This window comes from Homo sapiens, chromosome 8 (genome assembly GCF_000001405.40).
Source record: "Homo sapiens chromosome 8, GRCh38.p14 Primary Assembly".
Taxonomy (NCBI): Eukaryota; Metazoa; Chordata; class Mammalia; order Primates; family Hominidae; genus Homo; species Homo sapiens.
In genome coordinates, this window is record NC_000008.11 from 144,825,296 (window position 1) to 144,844,052 (window position 18,757).

General features: G+C 52.4%; 2 protein-coding genes and 1 long non-coding RNA gene across 27 annotated transcripts in view, besides 6 other annotated features; 1 reads left to right on the forward strand and 2 right to left on the reverse strand.

Annotated features, from left to right (window-relative positions):
- The window catches only part of LOC100130027 (uncharacterized), an 18,231-nt gene extending 16,486 nt beyond the window's left edge, over positions 1 to 1,745 (reverse strand). The window contains exon 1 of the long non-coding RNA NR_147501.1: positions 18 to 1,745. This is a non-coding gene — a long non-coding RNA (uncharacterized LOC100130027). The remainder of the gene's footprint in view (positions 1 to 17) is intronic.
- Positions 1,456 to 2,585: a silencer, noted in NCBI's record as "silent region_19713". NCBI's record gives its function as "represses an Ori minimal core promoter by ATAC-STARR-seq in GM12878 lymphoblastoid cells {active_cell/tissue: GM12878}" and the evidence as "EXISTENCE:reporter gene assay evidence [ECO:0000049][PMID:35858748]".
- Positions 1,456 to 2,968: a biological region, named in NCBI's record as "hESC enhancers GRCh37_chr8:146052597-146053122 and GRCh37_chr8:146053123-146053648".
- Positions 1,917 to 2,442: an enhancer, noted in NCBI's record as "H3K27ac hESC enhancer chr8:146052597-146053122 (GRCh37/hg19 assembly coordinates)". NCBI's record gives its function as "activates a minimal SCP1, AML or CMV promoter by ChIP-STARR-seq in primed H9 embryonic stem cells {active_cell/tissue: H9 hESC(primed)}" and the evidence as "EXISTENCE:reporter gene assay evidence [ECO:0000049][PMID:30033119]".
- The window catches only part of ZNF7 (zinc finger protein 7), a 19,949-nt gene continuing 3,456 nt past the window's right edge, over positions 2,265 to 18,757 (forward strand). The window contains exons 1-5 of one of the 19 annotated variants that reach the window (XM_011517294.3): positions 2,265 to 3,034; positions 3,748 to 3,795; positions 4,183 to 4,309; positions 12,096 to 12,212; positions 16,060 to 18,477. In XM_011517294.3, the coding sequence (XP_011515596.1) occupies positions 3,793 to 3,795; positions 4,183 to 4,309; positions 12,096 to 12,212; positions 16,060 to 17,873 (2,061 nt within the window). In that variant the 5' untranslated portion in view covers positions 2,265 to 3,034; positions 3,748 to 3,792 and the 3' untranslated portion in view covers positions 17,874 to 18,477. Of the gene's footprint in view, positions 3,035 to 3,747; positions 4,310 to 12,095; positions 12,213 to 16,059; positions 18,478 to 18,757 lie in introns of those variants that run through there. The other 18 variants (XM_011517292.4, XM_011517293.3, XM_011517296.4 and 15 more) reach the window with 18 other exon arrangements.
- Positions 2,443 to 2,968: an enhancer, noted in NCBI's record as "H3K27ac-H3K4me1 hESC enhancer chr8:146053123-146053648 (GRCh37/hg19 assembly coordinates)". NCBI's record gives its function as "activates a minimal SCP1, AML or CMV promoter by ChIP-STARR-seq in primed H9 embryonic stem cells {active_cell/tissue: H9 hESC(primed)}" and the evidence as "EXISTENCE:reporter gene assay evidence [ECO:0000049][PMID:30033119]".
- Positions 2,969 to 3,494: an enhancer, noted in NCBI's record as "H3K27ac-H3K4me1 hESC enhancer chr8:146053649-146054174 (GRCh37/hg19 assembly coordinates)". NCBI's record gives its function as "activates a minimal SCP1, AML or CMV promoter by ChIP-STARR-seq in naive H9 embryonic stem cells {active_cell/tissue: H9 hESC(naive)}" and the evidence as "EXISTENCE:reporter gene assay evidence [ECO:0000049][PMID:30033119]".
- The window catches only part of COMMD5 (COMM domain containing 5), a 15,579-nt gene continuing 9,504 nt past the window's right edge, over positions 12,683 to 18,757 (reverse strand). For 4 of the 7 annotated variants that reach the window (XR_002956628.2, XR_928321.4, XR_428379.4 and 1 more), the window contains exon 3: positions 12,683 to 16,448. The gene's annotated coding sequence lies outside the window, so the exon portion shown is untranslated. The remainder of the gene's footprint in view (positions 16,449 to 18,757) is intronic. The other 3 variants (XR_002956629.2, XR_007060730.1, XR_007060731.1) reach the window with 1 other exon arrangement.
- Positions 13,558 to 14,111: an enhancer, noted in NCBI's record as "OCT4-H3K4me1 hESC enhancer chr8:146064238-146064791 (GRCh37/hg19 assembly coordinates)". NCBI's record gives its function as "activates a minimal SCP1, AML or CMV promoter by ChIP-STARR-seq in primed H9 embryonic stem cells {active_cell/tissue: H9 hESC(primed)}" and the evidence as "EXISTENCE:reporter gene assay evidence [ECO:0000049][PMID:30033119]".

Sequence of the window (18,757 nt, forward strand, 5' to 3'; positions counted from 1 at the left end):
TGGGTGTCTGCACTCACCTTGAGATGTGGGTGTCTGCAGATGGCAAGGGACCTGTGGAGGGGCTCTGTGGATTGGAAGCACCATTGCTCTGGGCTGTCCACTCGGATACGGAGAGTGCTGTTGGAAATGCAGCACCTTGAAAGTGTCTTTGTAGTTGAGATTTTTTCCTGGAAACATTTACAGCTTGGAACTGTTCTATCTGGCCAAATATGAGGAGGCTAGAGTTGCCCCAAAAGTGGCAGCAAGGGAGTTGCCTCAAAAGACTTCCCCAAACAGTCCCGCGATGGAATTGGTTGGGATTCCAAGGAAAGAAGCTCTAAACGCCAGGGTGATCAGTCCAGAGCATTTCTTCCGGAAATTTTCACATGGAGCTTCAGCTTTCTTGGGATCGATGATGAGGCAAGGGATGCTCCACCCAGGTACATTTGCAGCAAGGGACTCTGGCTATGGAGCTTAGATGAGAGTTTAAGGGATTGGACTCAGGGCAGGGCCAGTTTCTACGTGTTTAGCAATAGGGTTGATTGTGTTTTCAAGCAACCTAAACAGCTTTATCAGGGAATGTGCCCGGCCCCATTGAACTGGGTTCAAGGCTGCAGGGAACACGCAATGGCCAGGTCCCAGAGCAATCAAAGGACTCTGTGTTTCTCAATCAGTAGAGAAAGAAAAGGGGGAACTGGAAGACCCTGTGAATCCCAATCTCAGCTAGGGATGAGCAATCCAGGCTGGCCCAGAGCATAAGCACCGTGACCATGTGAGGGCCTGAGTGTGCCTGGCTTTGGAGGGTCTGCTTGCTCAGTGGCCTCTAGACTCAGCCGGGCAGTGGATGCAGTGGATGGAGGAAGCCCCCTCGCCCCAGACAGGACCTCAGGGCCTCAGAGCCCTGGCATCTGCACCCTGGACACAAGGAAGGTGCCTATGAGGTGGATGCTCTAGCCAGGCTTTCTCCCCCTCCTGCTCCTGTGTTACCCTGGTGTGCCCCCCTCACCTGCAGCAGGCCAGGTTGGGGCATAGGGTTGCCGGCCCCTACCAGCCCTGGGGGTCTGGAGGGCGGCTGGGGAAGCAGACCCCCTGTCCTTCCCTATCCTTCGCGACATGCTCCCTGAGCAGCTGCAGTCCACTTAGATGACCAGAGAGGATGTGGGGCTGAGGGAGCCGAACTCGGGGCAGCAGGGGCGGGGGTGGGAGTGCCGGGATCATCCGCACCGGGAGAGGCGAGGCCGGCGTCTGTTTTTCACCTGGGCCTCCCTGGGGGGCTGGGGGCTGCCTGACTCTTCCCTCCTTTGGTTTGCGCAAGTTTTCCCGCGCGGGTTCGGATCAACACGCCGGGGGAGCCCGGCTTACGTCCCTCCTGGACCCCCGCCCCGTTCTTCCCGTGGGGAGGGGCGCGTCAGGCGGACCTGGCACCCTCCGGCTGCTGGGCTTCGCCGGGAGCCACGCGGGGAGGTCCAGGCAGTCGGGACGCAGGCAGCGTCCTCGCCGAGGCTGCGAGTCCGTGGCCGTCCGGGGGAGGCGCGCAGGCTCTGCCGGACGCAGAAGGAACCCGAAGGAGGCGGGGTGGAGGGCGGTGCGGGGCCGGGGAGGGGCGAGGCGAGTGGCGAGTGGACGCCGGGCCCGGCCTCGGGCAACTCCGAGGGGCGCCCTTCCTCGGGGTCCCGGAGGCTCTGCGACCCCGCGGCCGCTCCAGCCGCTCACTGGGGACAAGGCCCGAGCCAGGCGTCTCCGCGAGGCGGGGTCCATAGCGCGCCCAGCAGGCGCCTCCTGTCGCAGGGACGCGGGGGAGCGGCGCCTGAACAGCCTCGGTGGGAACCAGCGCCCGAAGCTGGTGATCCGGGGTGCGCAGGGCCCAACCGGGCGATCCCCTGGATCTCCGCCAGCCTCGCCCCGACTCCGCTCCTCCCACCCGCCAGCGAGTCCGCAACTCCCGGCCCCGGCCCGCGTCCCCAGCTCCAGGCCCCGGCCCCGCCCCGCCCCTGCTCAGGCACCGCCCACTCCGGGCTCTGGGCCCTCCTCTCCCTCGCGGCTCCGCCCCCTGCCCGCCTCTGACTGTACCCCGCCCCCAGGCGCCAGCCCCGCCTATCTGGGCTTCTGGTCCCGCCCAGGTTCTTGTCCCTCGGGCCCCAGCCTCGCCCCTCCTCGGCTCTGACTCCACCCCTTCTCCGGAGCCTGGGAGGCGGGGCTGAGAACCACAGAGATGGCCGGGCCTCCGAGCGGCCCAGGGCGGCCGGAAGTTTGCGGGGCGGGGCGGACGCGGGTGGCCAAGGCCCGTTTCCGGCGGCGTCGCGCGTTTGCGAGCCTCGGGTGGTCCTCAGGGAGGGTGAGTCGGCGCGGCGGGCGCGGACTCGGGTTGCCCTCGGTCCGAGTGATCCCTGGTCGCTTCCTTAGCCCTCCCGCCTTCGGCATTGGGGTCCCCGCGTCCCCCGGGCCTCCAGGCGGGAAAGCGCGGGGGCTTTGCGGGGCCTTGAGCGCCTGGTGTGGGAGGTGGTCGAGCCCAGCCACCCTCCCCCGCGGCGGCGCGAGGTGGGCTTCGTTTGGCCGAGTCTCGCAGCTCCCCGCAGACCCCGCTCGTGGCGGCCACGGTGTCCGGGGCCTGAGTAAGGCGAGCTCCAGCTGCGGCCTTTTCTTCAGGCCTGGGTCTACTCCCGGGGCCCTGACTCCTCCTGCGAAATCACCTCCTTCTAGAGCCTTTTCTCTTTCTATTTATTGCCCCGGAAGGCCTAGGATAAGTGACAGTGGAGGAAGGAACGGTGCCTTGGGTGGGGTAGGCTGTTTGTCTTCTCTAAATTCTGGTTGCTATTCCGGGCATTCCTACTGTCAGGAGCCAGGTGGGGGGATCAGCCTACCTGTGCCGGTGACCTGGGGCTTCCACCCACAAACCACTTTCTGGGCCAGAAGCTGCCATACGAAGACTCTTTTTCCCATTCCGACCTCCCGGGGGAATGCCTGGGCAGGTAGAGGGTCTGGGGTCATTGGCTTAATTGAGGTGAACGATTTATATCAGATTACATCCCTGTGCCTGGTTCCATCCTGGCGACAGGTGAGCTGGAGACTGGAATTTATGTACTTGAGGGCAGGGGTTTCCATGTCCACTCTTGTCTTCCCTACAGTTTGTCATTTTTGCTCCTGCCTTCTCCAACCTCCAGTCGCTCACTGCCTTCCCCAACCTCCAGTCGCTCACTGCCTTCCCTTGCTGCCGGGAATTTACCCACACTGGTTCATCCAACCCCATTTCTTCTTGCTTCAGGCCCTTTCACATGCTATTCCTGCTGCCTGGAGTGCTCTCTCCACCTCCATTACCTTGGCCGAGGTCCCTGGGGAAGTGACCCATTACACTGAACGTTCTAGTCTAAGTGGCTTTCATAGTTCCCTGTACTTGAGCGCTGTCGTGGTTGCAGTGTGCTTATTTGTGTGGTTATTTAACTCTTTCCTCCGCCAGACTGCTTCGTGAAGGCAGGGTCCTCGTGTCCACTACTGTATCCCCATTACTCAGTGCCTGGCACGTGGCATCCACTTCTTACGGCTTTGTGGAGTGAGTCACACATGCCACACACACATACACTCTAAAGAGGAACAAGAGTTCAGTGGGCCTCCTTCACTCAAGTGCCATGGCTGCTTCAGCCCAGCCCCATGTCCCTGCTAGAGAAATCTGGGGCTGGAGGTAAAGGAGCAGAGAGCACAGTACCCCCTTGATTAGCCTGGAAGTTGGGCTTCTGGCACCTTGACCTCTAATCCTTTCATAATTGCCAACAGGTCTCTCGGCCAGAACACGTGGATGCCCACCCACCACTGAGCCTCATGGTAGGAAGCTTGACTGCCTCCTTCCCCTCGCATGTCCTGTGAAGGCCCACCTCCTGCTCTGCCCACTGGCCCTGGGCCCAGACCCTACCTTGGCCCTTGCTGGGCTTAGGAAGGCCCCCTTGCCCCCAACCCCAAGGTAGTGAGCAAACCCCTGCCCAAACCAGGGCCTAATTGAGGCTCTTGAGGGGGGAGGGTTGTATGACCACCATGGACTGGGTTCCTTCCTCCTCCCCGAGACTGCCCCTCCCCAGAATATTAGAGGCAGAGGAGTCCTGGTGAGCGTCTCGCCCAACCCCATGGGGCAGCTGCCTGAGACATGTCATGAGGCAGCGCCAGAAGGGGGCTGGCACCCAGGGATTCCTGGGGTGCTGGTGTGTGTCCTTTCAGGAGGTGGTAACATTTGGCGATGTGGCTGTGCACTTCTCTCGGGAGGAGTGGCAGTGTCTGGACCCTGGCCAGAGGGCCCTCTACAGGGAAGTGATGCTGGAGAACCACAGCAGTGTGGCTGGACTAGGTGAGGCTGCACCTTGGGGCCCCTTCCCCTGCATCATCAGTCAGCACCCACCCAGCCAGGCCTCCATCAGAGGCTGGGGTATGCAGGCCAAACGCTCAGACCCTTGTGGGCTCCACAGGGGGCTTGGACTCATGAGTGGTGTGCCAGGCTGGTTCCTAGCTTTGCCCATGTCATGGGGTTCAGCCCCCAGGGAGTGGGTGGGATTCTGGGAGTTAGTAAAGCCTCTTTTTTTCCTAAGCTGTTAAATTGTGAGAAATAGAATCCAAACTTGAAATAGCTTAGACAAGAAAAGAGAAATTATTGGGTGGAGAAATCCAAGGAAAAGGTTGTGCAACGAGCAAGAGGTGGCAGCGACGCCCACACGGCTGCTTTGCAGATGCCGTCATCCCCTTGCCCCTCCTGTCCTGCCGTTAGTCTCCTCTCTGAACTCCACCACCGCCACAGGCAGCCACTGCGGTGCTCTTTATGTCCATGCCTGTGTCCTCACAAGCTGTATACTGTCGTTGGATTGCAACTTGGTGAGGGGGGGTGCGTCTTAACTTGGGCCTTGCTGGGCCTCTTGCCTGTGACTAAGCCCTCTGCTGCATCACACGCCCGAGAGAGTGCCTGGGCTGGGGGATCAGGAGTGGAACTGACGCGGGCATCGTTGGTTGGCCAGGAGCTTCTTGGGGTGTTGGACCAGGCCTGTCCCCCTCTGTCCCGGCTAGTCTGGCAAAGTCCAGCTTTCTGTTTTGCCAGTCAGATAAGTGTACAGTGGGAGGCTGTTGTAGTTTGAGTTTGCATTTCTCTGATTTCTGCTGAGCTTGAGCCTATTTTCACACCCTCATTAGCTTGCCAGGTTCTTCTGTGAAATATCTGTTCAGGGCATTTGCCCATATTCTAGGTCCGCTGTGTCTTATTGCTTTGAAGGTGTTGTTTCTTCATTCTGTCTAAGATGCCTTACTTTGTAAAACATGTAGTTATGTACACATCATTATTTTAAGAAAGTTGGAATGCTACTGATTACACGCATTTTTTAATCATTTAATTTTACTTTATACTTTTTAAAGAGCCCTCTTAGACTCATTTAGATGTGGTTTACCCTGTCTCACTGAAATAGGAAAAGACACATGCAGTGAGGGTCCTTTTTTTTTTTTTTTGAGATTTTGAGATGGAGTCTTGCCCTGTCACCCATGCCGGAGTGCAATGGCGCGATCTTGGCTCACCGCCACCTCCGCCTCCTGGGTTCAAGCGATTCTCCTGCCTCAGCCTCCCGAGTAGCTGGGATTACAGGTGTGAGCCACCGTGCCCAGCCGGAGTAAGGGTACTTCTAATGTTTCTTCACAGCTTTTAGTGACCCCACTCTCTGGTTTGGTTATCTGTGTCCATGCTTTCCACGTGATGGCAACCTGTGGGCCTGGCCATCTAGAGGTGCTGCAGCTTTTCGTAAGTGGTGTTGGGGTTTTCTTCATCCAGTGAGCTTGGTGCTTGAGCTTTCTTGCTTGGCATGTAGCAGCTCCATCTGCTGTGCCTGTCCTCCTCTCTCAGGCCCTGTGTGTACACAGTTGCTGATGTACCAGTAACTGGAATTGCAGTCATTCCCCCAGCAGCAGTTTGCTTCTCCAGGCTCAAAGGTACAGCTGCTGTTCTTTTTCCATGGCTTCTGTCTATTTATAACGTCCTGCTGCTGTGCCAAGTCACAGGGTAAAGCTTTTGAAGACAGTGTAGAGAGCAGCTGAATTCAGCATGTATTGTATGATGGTGCTGGTGACTTACCTGCAGCAGTGACTGAGCAGCTGGGGCAAGCTCGTGTGTGCACAGGCAGTGATGGTGTGTCACAGCTGCCACCTGGCGGATGACATCAATTCCTAGATGCGTCCAAGAGATGGGAAAGGGTTTTATAAAAACACTATCTTAGGGCCGGGCGCGGTGGCTCATATCTGTAATCCCAGCACTTTGGGAGGCTGAGGCGGGTGGATCATGAGGTCAGGAGATCGAGACCATCCTGGCCAACAGGGTGAAACCCCCGTCTCTACTAAAAATACAAAAATTAGCTGGGTGTGGTGGCGCATGCCTGTAATCCCAGCTACTCGGGAGGCTGAGGCACGAGAATCGCTTGAACCCTGGAGGCGGAGCTTGCAGCGAGCTGAGATCGCACCACTGCAATCCGGCCTGGGCAACAGAGCGAGACTCCATCTAAAAAAAAAAAAAAAAAAGACTATCTTAGAATTTATAAAATATGGTAAGTACCAGGTTAGTTTTGTTTATTATAAATCACTTTTTCAGCCGGACATGGTGTTGCATGCCTGTAGTCCCAGCTACTGGGGAGAGCGAGGAGGGAGGATTGCCTGAGCCTGGAAGGTCAAGGTTGGAGTCAGCTATGATTGTGCCACTGCAGTCCAGCCTAGGCAACAGAGTGAGACCCTGTCTAAAAAAAAAATCTTCTCTGCTTCTTTTGTGTTTGTTAACTTTGTTAGGTCAGATTTTAATGTAATTACTGTGTTTTTGCCTTATGGATTGTCTCTTTGAAGTTTTATTTAAAAGTTCTGTCCGGGCACAGTGGCTCACACCTGTAATCCCAGCGCTTTGGGAGGCCAAGGCGGGCGGATTGCCTCAAATCAGGAGTTCAAGACCAGCCTGGGCAACACAGTGAAACCCTGTCTTTATTAAAATGCAAAAAAAAAAAAAAATTAGCTGGGCATGGCAGTGTACACCTGTAGTCCCAGCTAATTGGGAGGCTGAGGCAGGAGAATTGCTTGAACCTGGGAGGCAGAGGTTGCAGTGAGCCGGGATTGTGCCACTGCACTCCAGCCTGGGTGACAGAGCGAGACTCTATCTCCAAAAAAAAAAAAAGTTCTTCCCTGGCTGGGTGTGGTGGCTCACACCTGTAATCCCAGCACTTTGGGAGGCCGAGGCGGGCAGATCACCTGAGGTCAGAGTTTGAGACCAGCCTGACCAACATGGTGACACCCCGCCTCTACTAAAAATACAGACATTAGCCAGGCGTGGTGGCGGGTGGTTGTAATCTTGGCTTCTCAGGAGGCTGAGGCAGGAGAATTCCTTGAACCCAGGAGGCAGAGGTTGCACTGAGCCGAGATCACACCAGTGCACTCCAGCCTGGGTGACAGAGTGAGACTCCGTCTCAAAAAAAAGTTCTTCCCTCCTCCAAGGTCACTGAGATGGGCTTCATTTTCTCCTGTGGATTTTATAGTTTGTATTTCTCATCTGTATCCCAGCTCCACATTTGTATTGGGGTTACGTAAAAATCCCTGTTTTATTTTGTCCACACATAGCTGTTTTCCCCAACATCATCTATTAAACAGTCTCCTTGGCCAGGCTCGGTGGCTCACACCTGTAATCCCAGCACTTTGAAGTAGGCCGAGGTGGGCGGATCACCTGAGGTCAGGAGTTCGAGACCAGCCAGGCCAACATGGTGAAACCTCATCTCTACTAAAAATACAAAAATTAGCTGGGTGTGGTGGCTCACGCCTGTAATCCCAGCTACTCAGAAGGCTGAGACAGGAGAATCGCTTGAACCTGGGAGGTTGAGGTTGCAGTGAGCTGAGATCGTGCCACTGCACTTCAGTCTGGGCAATAAGCGAGACTTTGTCTCAAAAAAAAAAAAAAAAAAAGACTATCTCCTTTTCCTGTTGACATGTGGAGCCACCATTTTCATCTATGAAATGGGATGTTTCTGAACCCTGTTCTCTTCCCTGAATCTCTCTTGTGGGCCAGCTTCCTGCTTTTGGTTTGTTTTGGTTTTTTTTTGTTTGTTTGTTCATTTGTGTTTTTGGCTTTTTTTTGAAATAAAGTCTCACCCTGTCACCTGGGCTGGAGTACAGTGGTGCGATCTCGGCTCACTGCAACCTCTGCCTCCCAGGTTCAAGCAATTCTTGTGCCTCAGCCTCCTGAGTAGCTGGGATTACAGCTACTCAGGCATGTGCCACCACACCCGGCCAATTTTTTGTATTTTTACTAGAGATGGGGTTTCGCCATGTTGGCCAGGCTGGTCTGGAACTCCTGACCTCAGGTTATCCACCCACCTTGGTCTCCCAAAGTGCTGGGATTACAGGTGTGAGCCACCGTACCTGGCCAGTTTGGCTTTGTTTTTTATTTTGGGGTGGTTTTTGTTTTTTGCTTTAATTTTGTAGTGTTTCTTAATACTACAAGAATACTAAAAGAATTAAACTCACCCGTTTAATTCTTTTTTTTCTGGGACGGAGTTTCGCTCTTGTTGCCCAGGCTCGAGTGCAATGGCGCGATCTCAGTTCACTGCAACCTCCGGCTGTTGGGTTCAAGTGATTCGCCGCCTCAGCCTCCTGAGTAGCTGGGATTACAGGCATGTGCCACTACACCCGGCTAATTTTTATATTTTAAGTAGAGATGAGGTTTCACCATGTTGGCCAGGCTGGTCTCGAACTAACCTCAGGTGATCCGTCTGCCTCGACCTCCCAAAGTGCTGGGATTACAGGCTTGAGCCACCATGCCCGGCTGCATACTAATTTTAGAATAAGTTGAGTTCCTAAAAGCCACTGGAATTTTTATTGGGAGTGCTTTGAAACTGTTTTCTGTCAATGTAAAAGTTTTGATTTTTTTGCTTTGTGAATGTATTTTTAGCTGATTATTGCTGTAGTACAAAAATGCTGTTGGTTCTGGAGGATGATCTTACATCTGGCAACTTTGTGGAACTCCCTGGGTAAATCAGTGTTGCTCGGTGATTCTGCTGTTTTCCAGCAGGAGGATTCCTGCAAATGAGAGTTTGGTATTTTCCCTCCCAGCCCTCACTCCTCCCATCTCTGCCTTTGCAGTGGCCAGCACAGTGTTAAACAGGACCGTGTGGGCATGTTGTGTTCCTGATTTTAAAGGGAATGCATCTACATAACCACAGAATTTGGCTAAGGAGTTTTTTTTGTTTTTAATCATAAATACTGAATTTCAAATTCTTTTTCTGCATCATTTGAGACACGTGATTTATTTTCTTTATTAATGCAGGAAATTACATTGTTATATTTTCTTGTATTCCTGGAATAAGCCTTACTTAAATCACGATATTTATATATAAATTTTGATATGCCTTTGGATTCAACTAGCCAATATTGTATTTTTGTGTTTCTGTTCATAAGTGAAATGGATATATATATATATGTATATATATTTCCTTTTTTTTTTTTTTTTGAGACGGAGTCTCGCTCTGTTGCGCAGGCTGGAGTGCAGTGGCGTGATCTCGGCTCACTGCAAGCTCCGCCTCCCAGGTTCACGCCATTCTCCTGCCTCAGCCTCCCGAGTAGCTGGCACTACAGGTGCCTGCCACCATGCTTGGCTAAATTTTTTTGTATTTTTAGTAGAGATGGGGTTTCACTATGTTAGCCAGGATGGTCTTGATCTCCTGACCTCGTGATCCACCTGCCTTGGGCTCCCAAAGTGCTGGGATTACAGGCATGAGCCACCACGACTGGCCTATGTTTCTTTTTGTGTATTGTCCTTATGTAATTTTGACATGTTTGATAAATGGCATTTGGCATACAAGTAGAACTTGGTGGAGCTAATCTGTAAAACCATCGGGACCTTGAGCTTTTGGGGAAGGAAAGTCTTGGATTAGCATTTATGCATTTATATTTTCTTTTTTTTTTTTTTTAAAGAGTTGGGGTTTTGCTCTGTTGTCCAGCCTAGAGTACAGTGGTGCGATTATAGCTCACTGCAGCCTTGAACTCCTGGGCTCAAGTGATTCTTCCACTTGAGTTTCCCTAGTAGCTGGGACTATAGGTGTGCGCCACCATGCTCAGCTGTTTTTTCTTTCTTTGTAGAGTTGGGGTCTGTCATGTTGCCGCAGGCTAGTCTTAAACTTCTGGCCTCAAGCAGTCCTGCCTTGGCCTTCCAAAATGCTGGGATTATAGGCAGGAGACACCTTGCCTGGCATTTCCTTTGGTTTTAATCTGTTATATTTGTAATTGTGTCTCTTATTCTCTGTTTTTTGGCAGCATCTTCTCACTAAGTGGACCTTGATTGGTTTTGTCATCAGTCATATTCATGTTTTCAAATAACTGGCTTTTGGTTTTGCCTTTTTTGGGGGGTTGGGTTGGAGGATGTTTTTATTTGTCTTTGTTCTCTAGCTCTCTGAATCCTGCCCCGGATTTATTATTTTCTTCCTTTTTATTTATGTGAGTTTGATGTGTGTGGTGTTTGTTTGTTTTGCTTTTTTAATTTTTTGAGACAAAGTTTCACTCTGTTTCCCAGGGTGGAGTGCAGTGGCTTACTGCAGCCTGGACTGCCTGGGTTCCAGCGATCCTCCCACCGTGTTGGCCAGGCTGGTCTCGAACTCCTGACCTTCAGGTGATCCACCCGCCTTGGCCTCCCAAAGTGCTGGAATTACAGGTGTGAGCCACCACGCCTGGCCATTCTCAACTTCTTGAACTTACTATTTACCTCATTTGTGTTTTAAAATGATCATTTCTAGTAAATGTATCTAAAAGTATAAAATTTTTCTGGGTATAGTGGCATATGCCTATAATCTCAGTTACTTAGGAGGCTGAGGCAGGAGGATTGTTTGAGCCCAGGAGTTTGAGGCCAGCCTGGGCAACATAGCGAGACCACATGTCTGCAAAGAATTTAAAAATTAGCTGGGTGTGGTGTCACGCACCTGTAGTCCTAGCTACTCAGTAGGTTGAGGCGGGAGGATTGGCCTAGGCTATAGTGAGCTGTGATGGTGCCACTGCACTCCGGCCTGAGTGCTAGAGCAAGACCGTATCTCTAAATAAATAACATTTTATCTTTACATACTGCTTGGGCTGCATCCTATAAATTCTGACTCATAATAAATACAGTTGCCACTTAGTCATTTATTATGTAGTTTCCAAGTAGCTAATGGCATCTAAGCACCATTTTGTGGTGAGTTTCACACTGAGTTGCATTTGCCTGGGCGCGTGTTCTGTGGTATGTTCTTTGGCATGTCTGTGACTCAGTTTGTGGCTTGACCCAAGGCTGTTTCTTTGTTCCACATGTACTTGGAGAGGATATGCATTTTCTGTTGAATGTGGAGTCCTGCCTGCATCTGGGGGTTTCAGCTTATTGGCTATAGGCCTTTGGAATCTCTGCCTGCCTCTTTCCTTCCAGTTGGGGGAACCCTGAAGGAAGCTTCTAAACAGAGGCCTTGGCTGGCCCATGGATCAACTGCTCATCTCTGTACTGACCGGCACAAAGAGGGTATGGGGGCAGGTGGCCCCAAGAAGGCAGGGTGCCAGGTGGGCCCCCACAGGTCTCTGCCACCCAGTCTGCAGCGAGGGAGGCAGGCCCTGAGGCATCCTTTGTGCAGGGACTTGAGGCTGGAAGGACACTGGCTGAGGACTGGACCTTGGAGCTTTCTGATGCAAAATGTGCTTCGTTTGTGTCTATTCATCGTTGTTTGTTACCTTATTTTGTAACCACCCCTGCCTCTTGGAGCATCTCTGCTCTCTGAACTGAGGGACAGGCCCGGTTCTGCTAAGTGAAGCTTGGGCTTCTCCTTCTCTTTCCCGAGTTCCAGGGGTAGAGGCGGACTGTCCTTTGCAGACTGTTTGGTGACAGGGTCGCCTGGAGATTGTGGGAGTCAGGTATCCCTTGCTGTCCAGCCACAGGAGGTGGACAGATCTGGACAGAAAGGGCTGCTGTGTCCCCAGATTCTCCCCACCCTCCACCCACTCTCCCTGCAGGAGCTTGGCCTGTGCCTTGTAGCCCCCCTGCCCCTTTCCATTTGGAAACTGGGGAAGACTTAGCCCTGTGCTGCACACTTCCCGTCATGCTGACACTGTTGTCTTCTCTGCCGCACACACAGCAGGATTCCTGGTTTTCAAGCCTGAGCTGATCTCTCGGCTGGAGCAGGGAGAAGAGCCATGGGTCCTCGACCTGCAGGGAGCAGAGGGGACAGAGGCACCAAGGACCTCCAAGACAGGTGAGGCTTAGATCCCATCGCAGAGAAGCCCTGGGGTGAGGAGAAACTGCAGGAGGGGCCTCACAACTGTGGGTAGCTGTGGGTGAGTCGCGGGGGCTACACTGGGATGCCTGGGAATGCTACTGGGGAAGCAGCATCCAGCACCTAGAAGGGAGCATAGACCCGTTGTGGGGCTGCCTTGGGAGAGGCCAAACTGCAGAAGAGCCAAGACACAAAAACCCATGCATTTCCACAAAAACGGAGCTTGTTTTTGAATCATGTCACATTTTGTTCTATTTTTAATTTTACTCATACTTTCGTTAAGCAAAGATACAAACCTATGGATCCAAGTGAAGGGTTAGGTTTGGCATTCAGTAACCTCTCCTCGGGTAAGCATATTCCCTGAGGCAGCTCCCTTCAGACCCTCTCAGGCTCCAGGAGTGCATTACTTTCCTGTGGCTGCCATAACAATGAACCACAGACTAGGAAGCTTAAAACAACAGAAATTTATTGTCTCACAGCTGTGGAGGCCGGAAATCTGAAACCGGGGGGTCAGCAAGCAGGGCCGTGCCCCCCTGTGAAGGCTTTAGGGAAGGATCCTGTCCTGCCTCTCCGGGCAGCTGGTGGTTTTCTGGCAGTCCTTGGGTTCCTTGGCTTGTGGATGCGTCCCTCACTCTGATCTCCGACTCCTTCACACGGCTGCCTTCTCCCTGCGTGTCTGTGTTCATGTGGCCATCTCCTTAGAAGGACACCAGTCATGGTGGGTTAGGGGCCACCCCAGTGACCTCATGGTGACTAATTAATCTGCAACGACTGTGTTTCCAAACAAGGTCACATTCTGAGGTGCTTCAAGTTAGGACTTCAGCCTATCTTGGGGTCCTCAGCCCTAACCAGGGCACCCACTGCCTCCGGCATCAGCTCCTGCTGGGCAGGCGCCCGGCCTGGTGCTCTGCTCCCCTGCTTAGCCGGTGTGCTGCCCAGCATGACAAGGGAGATGGGTCTGCGTGCATCTCAGCTGCAGAAAGGAAGCCCCTCACCTCCCTTTCAGTTGCTGCTGGGTCATCACCGTCACTCCTGCAGCAGGGCAGGACCAGGTCCTACAGAGGCCACCGGCTTGTAGGGGCCTCGGGAAGCAAGTTGGACAGTCCAAAGTTGTGAAAAGTAGGGGCCGTGGAGCCGGGCATGGTGGCTCACGCCGGCCATTCTAGCGATTTGGGAGGCCGAGGTGGGCGGATCACGAGGTCAGGAGATCGAGACCATCCTGGCCAACACGGTGAAACCCTGTGTCTACTAAAAATACAAAAAATTAACCAGGCGTGGTGGCAGGCGCCTGTAGTCCCAGCTACTCGGGAGGCCGAGGCAGGAGAATGGTGTGAGCCCAGGAGGCAGAGCTTGCAGTGAGCCGAGATTGCGCTACTGCACTCCAGCCTGGGCGACAGAGCGAGATGACGTCTCAAAAAAAAAAAAAAAAAAAAAGCAGGGGCTGTGATCTTACTTCCATTCATATGCGCCTAGGGGCTGTGACCTTACTTCCATTCATATGCGCCTAGGGGCTGTGACCTTACTTCCATTCATATGCGCCTAGGGGCTGTGACCTTACTTCCATTCATATGCGCCTAGGGGCTGTGACCTTACTTCCATTCATATGCGCCTAGGGGCTGTGACCTTACTTCCATTCATATGCGCCTAGGGGCTGTGACCTTACTTCCATTCATATGCGCCTAGGGGCTGTGACCTTACTTCCATTCATATGCCCCTAGGCAGCTTCAAAGGACAAGGAGGGTTTCTGAGCCTCTTCACGCCCTGTGGGCCTTGCAGCCGCCCAGGAAGTCTGCATGTGATGTGTGGGAAGAGTGGTCAGGAACCCTGGCCTCACTGGCTCTGCTGGCTACTCCCATGTGATCCTTTCTGCTCAGTCTCCCTGAGAAGGAGGTTCAGCTATAAGGTGGCCCAGTTAAAACCCAGCCGCCCATTAAAATGTCTCCAACATGGACAGGAGCGTTTAAAGAGGGTGCCATGGCAGAAAAGCCAGCTACAGTTGGCAGAAATAGTTCAGTGGGTTTATATGTAGCAGGTGGTCCTCACTGTGATAAAGCAACAACAAAAAAATAGAATCCCACAGTAGGTGAGAGCTGCTGTTGATGGACCCAGCACTTGCTCGCAGACCTGAGAGTCCGGGGCAGGGATGTAGCCTCTTAGATAAAACATGCAGCAGCACAAAACCAGAATACATGAAGCAAGGCAGAAATGCCCAGATATGTTACTTGTCCCCAGCTGGTACAGTCAGCATCAGATACTGAAAGATATTGGCCCAGAGCAGTGGAGGAGCGGCCAGGTCCCAGCTGTGCACCCCCACGCTTTTGACCACCACCGTGCCCCCTGCTGGGTGGTTCCTGGCATCCCCCAACAAAGCCTTGCTGTCAGCTTGGCCCTGCTCTCTCTGCCGCTGCTCTTTATTTTTTTATTTTTTGAGATGGAGTCTTTGTTGCCCAGGCTGGAGTGCAGTGGCATGATCTTGGCTCACTGCAACCTCTGCCTGCCAGGTTCAAGTGATTCTTGTGCCTCAGCCTCCCAAGTAGCCGGGATTACAGGCGTGAGCCACTGCACCTGGCCACCCTGCTCTCTTATCTTCACAGCAGGGGAAGGCTTGGGAGGAGTGTCAAGCAAGCCCTGTTGAAAGAGCAGGCATGCTGAGGTGGTGTGGTTGTGCAGGGAAAGCAGCACATGAGGACCAGGCCTGGAGATGCCTCCTGTCCTCACAGGCCTTGAGCATCCCTGCTACACAATGAGGTTGAAAGGGCTTCCTGCTCTGATTCTCCAGGACTGATAGGAAGACCTTTGGAGATCCCTGGAAGCCGGAGACTCACCACCAATGGTTAGGAGTGGGCAGGAACCGAAGCTTGAAGCCCTGTAACTGGGCTGTGCATTCATGTGGGGTAGACTCGGGCTGGTTATAGCTGTGGCTGCGTGGTTGTGGTTGTGAACGTGATTGTGTCGTGGTGGGGACCGTGGTTGTCATGATCATAGCCGTGTGTTGTGGTTGCATCCTGTCATGGTTTGATCACAGACATCAAGGAGATGTCTGACCTCAGCAGAGGTGCCCTCTAGGGTTACAGAGTAGGACAGAAGCCTGTGCTTACTTGGAGAGTCCAGAAGGAACGCAGATGTCTGGAAGGCCTCCTGGGGGCCTCCAGAAACTTGCAGCCCCAGGGAAGAAGTCAGTGTGGTCTTAGAGGTGGCCACGCACAGCCCAGGGAGAAGCAGGGGAGGTGGCCAGGTGCAAGTTGGCAGCAGCAGCCAGGAGGCAGCTGAGGGGGCTGGGTCCTGCTCAGAGAAGCCCACCCCAGGGAGTAGCCATGAACGGCCTAGGTGCCCAGTGCTCTTCTGAGCTCACGTAGTAAGTCCCTTGGCAGCTCTTCCAGCCTTGTTTCCTCATCACAATCCATGCTCTCCATTCAGAACTCAGACCCTGTACTGTTTCCTCGCCAGCTCGGATGCTGGAGCCCCTGACCCCGCAGCCCAATCCGTGGTAGCTTCCCACCCTTCTGGTCTTGCTTTGTCTCCTTTGCCTCTGCATGGACTGTGCCCCACACCAGTGCCTGTAGGATGGACCTCTCTGCTCACAGAACCCAGCCCTGCCCCAGCAATGAACATTCATTGCTATCGAATGAGTGAACAAGGTAAAAAGTATGAAACCACTTTTGAGAACTGTCAAAGGCTCTGCCTTCTCTTGCACGTTTCCACCTGGGGCCTCACAGTGCTCAGTGCAACTATCCTGGGAGCCTTGAGCCCTGGCCCCCGCATTTGTAGTCTTATCATTTCTCTGAGCACAGGGCCTAAGGAACGTCTTTGTTCCTGTTTATTTCAGATTCTACGATTAGGACTGAAAATGAGCAGGCCTGTGAGGACATGGACATCCTAAAATCAGAATCCTATGGGACAGTGGTCAGAATCTCCCCACAGGACTTTCCTCAGAATCCTGGCTTTGGAGACGTTTCTGATTCTGAGGTCTGGTTAGACAGTCATCTGGGCAGTCCCGGGCTGAAAGTGACAGGCTTTACCTTCCAAAATAACTGTTTGAATGAGGAGACTGTGGTTCCCAAGACCTTCACCAAGGACGCACCCCAGGGATGTAAGGAGCTGGGAAGCAGCGGCCTGGATTGTCAGCCTCTTGAAAGTCAGGGAGAGAGTGCGGAAGGGATGTCCCAGAGATGCGAGGAGTGTGGCAAAGGCATCAGAGCCACTTCAGATATCGCTCTGCATTGGGAAATTAATACACAGAAAATTAGCAGATGTCAAGAATGCCAAAAAAAGTTATCTGACTGCTTGCAGGGGAAACATACAAATAACTGCCATGGAGAGAAGCCGTACGAATGTGCAGAGTGTGGGAAAGTCTTCAGGCTCTGCTCGCAGCTTAATCAGCATCAGAGAATCCACACGGGAGAGAAACCCTTTAAATGCACTGAGTGTGGAAAAGCCTTCCGCCTGAGCTCAAAACTTATTCAGCATCAAAGAATCCACACTGGGGAGAAGCCCTACAGATGTGAGGAATGTGGAAAAGCTTTTGGTCAGAGCTCAAGCCTCATCCACCATCAGAGAATCCACACAGGAGAGAGGCCCTATGGTTGTCGTGAGTGTGGGAAAGCCTTCAGCCAGCAGTCGCAGCTGGTTAGACACCAGAGAACTCACACTGGGGAGAGGCCCTACCCTTGCAAGGAGTGTGGGAAGGCCTTCAGCCAGAGCTCCACCCTAGCCCAGCATCAAAGGATGCATACTGGGGAGAAAGCTCAAATTCTAAAAGCCTCAGACAGTCCAAGCCTTGTTGCACATCAGAGAATTCACGCTGTAGAGAAACCATTTAAGTGTGATGAGTGTGGGAAAGCTTTTAGGTGGATCTCTCGCCTGAGTCAGCATCAGCTGATTCACACTGGAGAGAAGCCTTATAAATGCAACAAGTGTACAAAAGCCTTTGGTTGTAGTTCACGGCTTATTCGCCATCAGAGAACTCACACTGGAGAAAAACCATTTAAATGTGATGAGTGTGGCAAAGGCTTTGTTCAGGGCTCACACCTTATTCAGCATCAGCGAATCCACACTGGAGAGAAACCCTATGTGTGTAATGACTGTGGAAAAGCCTTCAGTCAGAGTTCCAGCCTTATTTACCATCAGAGAATCCATAAAGGAGAGAAGCCCTACGAATGCCTCCAATGCGGAAAAGCCTTCAGTATGAGCACACAGCTTACAATACATCAAAGGGTTCACACTGGAGAGAGGCCCTATAAATGTAATGAATGTGGGAAAGCCTTCAGTCAAAACTCAACCCTTTTCCAACACCAGATAATTCATGCAGGGGTGAAGCCCTATGAGTGCAGTGAGTGTGGAAAAGCCTTCAGCCGGAGCTCATATCTTATTGAACACCAGAGAATACACACTAGGGCCCAGTGGTTTTACGAATATGGGAATGCCCTGGAAGGGTCCACCTTTGTGAGCCGTAAAAAGGTTAATACTATAAAGAAACTGCATCAGTGTGAAGACTGTGAGAAGATATTTAGGTGGCGTTCACACCTAATTATACACCAGAGAATTCACACCGGGGAGAAGCCTTATAAATGCAATGACTGTGGCAAAGCTTTTAATCGTAGCTCAAGGCTTACCCAGCATCAAAAAATTCACATGGGATAGACCACTTACATATAAATGTGTATATATGTGAATAAACCTATAGCCTTAACTTACTTATTTTATATGGAATCGTTTATACTGACAAACATGTAGAATGTTGGTAAAGGTTCAGAATTGCTCTCAAGAATATCCAACTTCAGGCCGAGTGTGGTGGCTTATGCCTGTCATCCCAGCACTTTGGGAGGCCAAGGCGGGCACATCACGAGGTCAGGAGGTTGAGACCATCCTGGGTAACAGGTGAAACCCCATCTCTACTAAAAATACAAAAATTTAGCTGGGCGTGGTGGCAGGCACCTGTGGTCCCAGCTGCTCGGGAGGCTGAGGCAGGAGAATGGCATCAGCCCAGGAGGCGGAGCTTGCAGTGAGCTGAGATCGCGCCACTGCACTCCAGCCTGGGTGACAGAGTGAGACTCCCTCTCAAAAAAAAAAAAAAAAAAAAAAATCCAACTTCATACAAAATGTATGTTTATTTCCTGAAATGTTTGACCTTAACCTGTTCAATAAAGCCTGTGTCCCTCAAAATCAGGGTGCAGTCTGCAGTTTTGAGTTGACAGGTCCCTGTGAATGAGGAAGCAGCACAAGGAGGGCTCTACGAGCGCTGCTAGACTGAGTAGGTTAAAATAATTTACCTAAACTCTTTTCCCTTAAGTATCAGTGGCTCACACTGGCTTCAACAATACGGAAATGCATTAGCTCATGTTGGAGGAGGTCCAGGAGTGCCTAGAATTCCAACTTCAAATTAGGTCCTTGTCTTAGAACTTAACCCAGCCACCCAGGACCAGAGGGCCCAGCCCTATCCCCTTCCTCAGAGAGGCAGGCTGGGCTAGCAGGTACACGCCATCATTACTGGTGTGGTTGGCATTTATGGAGCACATACCAGTGCC